Source organism: Homo sapiens, chromosome 7, assembly GCF_000001405.40.
Source record: "Homo sapiens chromosome 7, GRCh38.p14 Primary Assembly".
Classification (NCBI taxonomy): Eukaryota; Metazoa; Chordata; class Mammalia; order Primates; family Hominidae; genus Homo; species Homo sapiens.
Genome location: NC_000007.14, coordinates 120,005,549 through 120,014,061, shown reverse-complemented (window position 1 = coordinate 120,014,061; position 8,513 = coordinate 120,005,549). Strand labels below are relative to the sequence as shown.

General features: G+C 41.0%; 1 pseudogene, besides 1 other annotated feature; it reads left to right on the top strand.

Annotated features, from left to right (window-relative positions):
• Positions 4,479-4,980: an enhancer, noted in NCBI's record as "NANOG hESC enhancer chr7:119649136-119649637 (GRCh37/hg19 assembly coordinates)". NCBI's record gives its function as "activates a minimal SCP1, AML or CMV promoter by ChIP-STARR-seq in naive and primed H9 embryonic stem cells {active_cell/tissue: H9 hESC(naive and primed)}" and the evidence as "EXISTENCE:reporter gene assay evidence [ECO:0000049][PMID:30033119]".
• Positions 7,961-8,086, top strand: RNU1-29P (RNA, U1 small nuclear 29, pseudogene; annotated as a pseudogene).

Below are 8,513 nucleotides of genomic sequence, written 5' to 3'. Positions count from 1 at the left end.
CTAAGAATTGGGAGGACTTAGGGCATCTAATTAGAGAGTGCTTAAGGAGATTCAGCATAGTCCTGCCAGCAAAGATTATTTACTTTAAGAGTTAAGAGTGGCGGTTTGGGGATAGCACTAGGAGATATCAGCTGTGATGGCTTGGAGAAACAGTGTAAACTGGCAGTGTAAACAAGAGCAGGGCATGTATGAGTAGCTGAGAATGGTGAATAGGAGTATGATTAGACAGAAAATAGTAGGGATGACAAGTTTTTTGGGGCACAGTCTAAGTTGGTCTGGTGTCTGGAATGAGACTGGGGCCTAATAAAAAGGAGCGTCGATACAGGAGCTCAAATGGGCAGTACTTTGTAGCATTCTAAGGACAGGCCTGAATTCTGAGAGGGGAAAGTGGTAAAAGTATTGTCTAGTCTTTTTAAGTTGGTGGCTGAGCTTGGTGAGGTGTGTTTTTAAAAGACTTTTAGTCTGTTCTACCTTTCCTGAAGACTGAGGACTGTAAGGGATATAAAGGTTTCACTGAATACCAAGAGCCTGAAAAACTGCTTAGCCAATTTGACTAATAAAGGCCAGTCTGCTATCGGACTGTATAGAGGTGGGAAGGCTAAACCAAGGAATTATGTCTGACAGAAGGGAAGAAATGAGAGTGGTGGCCTTCTTAGACCTTGTGGGAAAGGCTTCTACTTACCCAGTGAAAGTGTCTACCTAGACCAAGAGGTATTTTAGTTTCCTGACTCAGGGCATGCTGAGTAAAGTCAATTTGCTAGTCCTGGGCGGGGGCAAATCTCTGAGCTTGATGTATAGGGAAGGGAGGGGGCCTGAATAATCCTTGAGAAGTAGTAGAATAGCAGATGGAACACTGAGAAGTTATTTCCTTGAGGATAGATTCCTACGATGGAAAGGAAATGAGAGGTTCTAAGAGACAGGCCAGTGGCTTGTACTACAGCATAGCCTGCCTTTGCTGGTGTGTGGCAATTAGGCCTGGTGGAACTGCCATCAATAAACTAAGTGTGATCAGGGTAAGGAACAGGAAAGAAGGAAATATGGGGAAATGGGGTGAATGTCAGGTGGATCAGAGAGATACAGTCATGGAGGTTAGGTGTGGTATCAGGAATAATGTGGGAGGCTGGATTGAAGTCTGGGCCAGGAACAATGGTGCTTGTGGGAGACTTAACAAAGTGAGTACAGCTGAAGGAGCTGGGGAGCAGAAAGTATGTGTCAGGTGAGAGGAAGAAAATAGATTTTGGAAGTTATGAGAACTGTAGAGAGTGAGTTGAGCATAGTTTGTGATTTTAAGGGCCTTTAAAATTATTAGGGCGGTGGCGGCCGCCGCACGCAGACTTGAGGGCTAGGCAAAACAGTAAGGCCTAGTTGTTTGGATAAAAAGGCTACAGGAAGCGTTCCTGGTTCTTGTGTAAGAATTCTGACTGCACAGCCCTGCACTTCGGCTGTGGGTAATGAAAAGGGTTGGGATCAGTCAGGGAGAGCTAGGCTGGGGGCAGTCTCTAAAGCTATCTTCAAGGAATGGAAAGAGGAGTGGGGAAAGGATTTAGGATCTATGGGGTCAGCTAGGTTTCCTTTTGTAAGTTTATATAATAGTTTTGTTAGGATGGCAAAACCAGGTATCTATCTAAAGTCGAAAGTATCTAACCATGCCTAGGAAGGAAAGGAGTTGTTTTATAGAATGTGCTGGGGTTTGAGAGATCAGTCAGACACGATTGGCAGGGAGAGCGCGTGTGTTTTTATGAGAATTATGCCGAGATAGGTAACAGATGAGGAAGAAATTTGGGCTTGATTGAAGTAATGGGGGCTGTCTGTGAAGCTTTGCGGTAGTACAGCCCGGGTAATTTGCTGAGCCTGATGGGTGTCAGGGTCAGTCCAAGTGAAAGCGAATACAGGTTGGGATGAAGGGTGCAAGGGAATAGTAAAGAAAGCATGTTTGAGATCTAGAACAGAATAATGGATTGTGGAGGGAGGTATTGAGGATAGGAGAGTATATGGTTTGGCACCATGGGGTAGATAGGCAAAACAATCTGGTTGATAAGGCGCAGATCCTGAACTAACCTGTAAGCCTTGTCTGGTTTTAGGACAGGTGAAATGGGGGAATTGTAAGGGGAGTTTATAGGCTTTAAAAGGCCATGCTGTAGCAGGTGAGTGATAACAGGCTTTAATCCTTTTAAAGCATGCTGTGGAATGGGATATTGGCATTGAGTGGGGAAAGGGTGATTAGATTTTACTGAGATGGTAAGGGGTGCATGATCGGTCACCAAGGAGGGAGTAGAGGTATCCTATACTTGTGGGCTAAGGTGGGGAGATACAAGGGGAGGATGTGAAGGAGGCTTTGAACTGGGGGAAAAGGTGGCAATGAGGTGTGGCTGTAGTCCAGGAATAGTCAGGAAGCAGATAATTTAGTTAAAGTGTCTCAGCCTAATAAGGGAACTGGGCAGGTGGGGATAACTAAAAAGGAGTGCTTAAAAGAGCATTGTCTGAGTTGGCACCAGAGTTGGGGAGTTTTAAGAGGTTTAGAAGCCTGGCCATCAGTACCTACAACAGTTATGGAGGCAAGGGAAACAGGCCTTTGAAAATAAGGTAATGTGGAGTGGGTAGCCTCTGTATTGATTAAGAAGGGGACGGACTTACTTTCCACTGTGAGAATTACCTAGAGCTTCTGTGATGGTCCTGTAGGCTTCTGAGGTCATCAGGCAGCGTCAGTCTTCAGCTGCTAAGCCGAGAAGATCTGGGAAGGAGTCAGAGAGCCTTGGGCCGAGTTCCAGGGGCTCTGGGAGTGGCTGCCAGGCGAGTTGGACAGTCCAATTTCCAATGGGGTCCTGCATGATGGGACATGACTTAGGAGGAATCCTGGTCTGTGGGCATTCCTTGGCCTGGTGGCCAGATTTCTGGCACTTGTAGCAAGCTCCTGGTTGGGGGGTGGTTCTGGAGGAACACCTGGCTGCTGCGGTTCAGGCATTTGGAAGTTCTTGTGTGCTGGAGATGTGGCTGGGGTTTGTCTCACAGTGGAGGCAAGGAATTGCAACTCAAAAATATGTTGCTACTTGGCTGCCTCTACTCTATTATTGTACACCTTGAAGCCGAGGTTAAGTCCTGTTGTGGGGTTTAAGGGCCAGAATTTAATTTTTGGAGTTTTATTTAATGTCAGGAGCTGATTGGGTAATAAAATGTATATTGAGAATAAGATGGCCTTTTGACTTTTTAGGATCTAGGGCTGTAAAGTGTCTCAGGGTTGCTGCCGAATGAGCCATTAACTGGGCTGGGTTTTTCATATTTGATGAAAGAGCCTAAATGCTAACTGATTTGGGAGAGGTCGGATAAAGAAAAAGGAGTATTAACCTTGACTATGACTTTAGCTCCAGCCACCTTTTTAAGAGAAAATTGCTGGGCAGGTGGGGGAAGGCTAGTCATGGAACTAAACTGTAAGCCAGACTGGGTGTGAGGAGGGGAGGTGATAAAAGGATTATAGGGTGGAGGAGTGGAGGCTGAGGAAGAATTGGGACTTCCTCCCCTTCTGGCCTGGTGAGGAGGGGAGAGGTCAGATAGGTCTGTAGAAAAGGAAGATTAGAAAGACTCAGTGACACTTGGGGTTGGGACTGGGGAGAGGCAGGAGGGAAGGAAGATTTGGGATGAGTTGCATTAGGAACAGAGACTAGGGAGGGACCGATGTGTAAAATAATGCCTGGACGTCAGGCACCTCAGACCGTTTGCCCCTTTTACAACAAGAATTATTTAGATCTTGTAGGATGGAAAAATCGAAAGTGTCGTTTTCTGGCTATTTGGAACCACTGTTGAGTTTGTGTTGGGGTGGAGTGGCATTGTAGAAGAAAATAAGGCATTTAGGTTTTAGGTCAGGTGTGAGTTGAAGAGGTTTTAAGTTCTTGAGAACACAGGCTAAGGGAGAAGGAGGAGGAATGGAGGGTGGAAGGTTGCCTATAGTGAAGGAGGCAAGTTTAAAGAGAAAGGTAGAGACATGGAGAAGGGGGTGGGGAGCAGCCCTGGGCTGCAAGGTGGGTAAGCGGCCAAAGCAGGCATCCCTGCAATTGACTTGCCACCCCTCAATGATTAAACACCAAGAGAAGGCTGCCTTCCTGAGTCCATGACAGGTGCCGGAGTTTTGGGTCCACGAATAAAATGTGTCCCCTTTGTCTATACCAGAAAATGAAAGGTATTGAAATTAAGAGAAGGGAGAGATTGAGGCGTGGCTCCAAGATTGAAAGGAGAAAGAGTTTGAGGGATAGTGAGGGAGGTTGGGGAAAAGAGTAAAAAGAGGCCGCTTACCGGATTTCATATTGGTGAGATGTTCCTTGGGCTGGTCACTCTGAGGACCTGAGGTCGTAGGTGGATCTTTCTCACGGAGCAAAGAGCAGGAGGACAGGGGATTGATCTCCCAAGGGAGGTCCCCCGATCCGAGTCACGGCACCAAATTTCATGCACATCTGTGTGAAGAGACCACCAAACAGGCTTTGTGTGAGCAACAAGGCTGTTTATTTCACCTGGGTGCAGGCGGGCTGAGTCCGAAAAGAGAGTCAGCACAGGGAGATAGGGGTGGGGCCATTTTATAGGATTTGGGTAGGTAAAGGAAAATTACAGTCAAAGGGGTTGTTCTCTGGCTGGCAGGGGTGGCGGTCACAGGGTGCTCAGTGGGGGAGGTTTTTCAGCCAGGATGAGCCAGGAAAAGGAATTTTACAAGGTAATGTCATCACTTAAGGCAAGGACCGGCCATTTTCACTTCTTTTGTGGTGGAATGTCATCAGTTAAGGCAGGAACAGGCCATTTTCAATTCTTTCATGATTCTTCAGTTACTTCAGGCCAATTGGGTGTATACATGCCAGGTCACAGGGGATGCGATGGCTTAGCTTGGGCTCAGAGGCCTGACAATATATGTATATAAAATGGCGCTGATTAGGGAGAATGGCTGACATGATTACAAGGCAAAGTTCCATAACAGGCTGTCTGAAAGCTTGGGAAAGAAACAAGCCAGTAGCATGGCTCAGTCCAAGTCTGAAAGCCTCAAAACCAGGGAAGCTGACAGCATAACAGTCTGAGGCCAAGTGCCCAAGAGCATTTGGGAGGCTGCTGGTGCAAATTACAGAGTTCAAAGGCCAAAGAACCTGAAGTCTGCTGTTCAAGGACACAAGGAGAGGAGTCAAGCATCTGGCACAGGAAGAGAAAGAGAGTGAGAGAATCAGCAAGCTGCTTATTCCTATTTCTGCCTGCTTTGTTCTAGCTGTGTGGGCAGCCGATTGCGTATGGTGCCCACCCACACTGATAGTGGGCCTTTTTCTCCCACTTTATTGACTTGTATGTCCATCTCCTCTGGCAACCCATGTATACAGACACACCCAGAAAAATACTTTAGCAGCCATATAGGCATCTCCCAATTCAGTCAAATTGACACCTAATATTAACTATCACACTCTGCTCCCAGCCTCTCTTCCCATTTAGGGGAAGGTCTTTCCACATTGAAACTAGCCTATGAAGTCTGCAAATGGTGACTACTCCATCAAATGCACATACATCGATATAAGATAACAAGAAATATGAAAAACCAAGAAGACATAATACCACCACAAAAACGTAGAGGCTGATCCCAAACAAGCCTATAAACTTCCTGACAAAGAATATAAAGTAATTATTTTAAGGAAGATCAGCAAACTCCAGGAAAATACAGAGAAACAATTTATTGAAATCAGAAAAAGGATAAGTGATTTGAAATGAGAAATTTAGCAGTTAAAATTATTTTTTTTACATTATAAAATTATAATATAATTAAATGATTAATATTTTGAATTATTTAATTATTTGATTCTATGACTATCTTTATCATTAAATAATTTCACATTATTAAAAATCAAGTAGAAAATTTTAGAGCCTAAAAACATAATGAATGGAAAAAAAAGTTAATACAGAACGTTAACAGCAAATCAAGTAGAAGAATCTGTGAACTTGAAGTAATGTAAATATACTGAGAAAGAAGAAAAAAGAAAACAAAATAAATAAGAAAGTTTATGAGATTTATGGAACAGCATCAAAAAAGGAAAACCCAAATCATAGAAACTTTATGAAGAGAAATGGGGGAAAAAGTGGCAGAAATTTTATTCAAATAAATAATAGCAGAAAACTTTGCAAATTTGGGGAAAGATATAAAAATCCAGATACAAAGGCTGAATGTCCCAATCAGATTCAATCCAAACAATCTACATCAAGACATTATAATCAAACTGTCAAAAATCAAAGAGAGGACACTGAGAGCAGCAAAGGAAGCAAATCACATATCAGGGAGTTTCAGTAGTTTTAGCAGGGGAGTTTTTATCAGATATAGACCAGGAGAAAGTGGAATCATATATTCAAAATGCTGAAGGAAAACAATTGTGAACCAAGAATACCATACCTGGCAAAGCTATCCTTTAGAAATAAAGAAGAGATAGATTTCTCAAGCAAACAAAAACTGAGTGAGTTCATCATCACCAGATCTGTCTTACAAAAAATGTTAAAAGTAGTACATCAAGGTGAGATTAAAAGATGCTAATTAGTAACAAAAAAAAATGAAAGTATAAAACTCACTGGTAAAAATAATTTCACAACCATATTAAGAATACTCTGATACTATCATGATGGTGTGTAAATTACTTCTATAGTATGAAGGTTAAAAGACAAAACTACTAAATAATAGCTGCAATAATTTGTTAGGGGATACACAATATAAAAATATTTAAATTTTGATATAAAAACTATAAAAATGTATGTGGGTGGAGTAGATATGTAGAGTTATTTTATGCAATCAAAATTAAGTTTGTTATCAGCTTAAAATAGCTTCTATATAATATATAAAATGTTTTGCATTATGCCTCATGGTAACCATGGTAACCACAAATAAAAAAGCTATAGTAGATACACAAAAGATAAAAAGGAGGAAATCTAGGGCATATGACTAGAGAATATTATCTAATCACAAAGGAATATAGCAAGAAAGAAAAAGGACAAAGGATCTATAAAACAACCAGAATACAATGAGCAAAATGGCATTAGTGAGCCCTTACCTATCAATATATTACCTAGAAGATAAACAGATTAAATTCTGCAACCACGAAACATACAGTGGCTAAATAGATATTTTTAAAAAATCAATTATGTGGTGCATATAAGAGAATCATTTTACTTTTTAAGGACACAAATACAGTAAAGTGAAAGAATGAAAAAATATATTCCATTCAAATGAAAGCCAAAAGACAGCAAGGGTAGCTAACTTTTATTTAAGTAAAAATCTGTAAAACAAGACAAAAAGGATCATTATATAATGATAAAGGGATCAATTTATCAAGAAGATGTAGCAATTATAAACATATATGCACCACCAATCAAAACACCTAAACATATAAAGCAAATATTAATAAATCTGAAGAAAGAGATAGATTGCAATATAATAATAGTAGGGGACATCAACATCCCACTTTCAACAATGAACAGATAATCCAGACAGAAAATCAATAGCAAAACATTGAACTTGAACTATAAACTATACTTTAGACCAAATGGACCAAAGAAACATATACAAAGCAGTCCATCCAATAGGAACAGAATACACATTCTGGTTTAGAATCATATCACATGTTAGGCACAGGCACAGAACAAGTCTTAACAAATTGAAGAGAATTGAAATAACATGAAGAATTTTTTTCTGACCACAGTGATATGAATAAAATGGTATAAAAGGAGAAATTCTGGGAAATTCACAATATGTGAAAATTAAACAACATGGTTCTGAACAACAAATGGGTCAAAAAAATTAAAAGAGAAATTATAAACATCTTGAGACAAGCAAAAATAGAAAAACAACATATGAAAACTTAAGGGATGCAGCAAAAGTGGTTCTAAGAGTGAAGTTAGACCTACATGAAACATATAAACACCTGCATGAAAACAGAAGAAATATATCAAAGAAATAACCAAACACATATGTACCTGGCAGGGGAGATACCATGATCATGAAGGTGGTTTTCCCAGGGTGAAGCTTATCCATTGTACTCCGGATATGCTGACCCCTGTGATTTCCCCAGATGTAGGAAACTCAACTACAGTCTAAAACTAGTACCTCAATTACCCATGTATCCATACACTTGAAACTATACCCATTAAACACTAACTCCCTGGCCGGGCACGGTGGCTCCTGCCTGTAATCCCAGCACTTTGGGAGGCCCAGGCGGGCAGATTACGAGGTCAGGAGATCGAGACCATAAAAAAAATAAACAAAATTGGTCAACCTTTAGCAAGACTAACTTTAAAAAAAATGAGAGAAGACTCAAATACATAAAATTATAAATGAAAAAGGAGACATTACAACTGATACGACAGAAATATAAATAATCATAAGAGGGTGCTAGGAGCACTTGTACACTAACAGATTGGATAATCTAAAAGAAATGAATAAATACCCAGACACATACAACCTATCAACACTGAATAATGAAGAAATGGAAAATCAGAATAGATCAATAATAAGTAGGGAG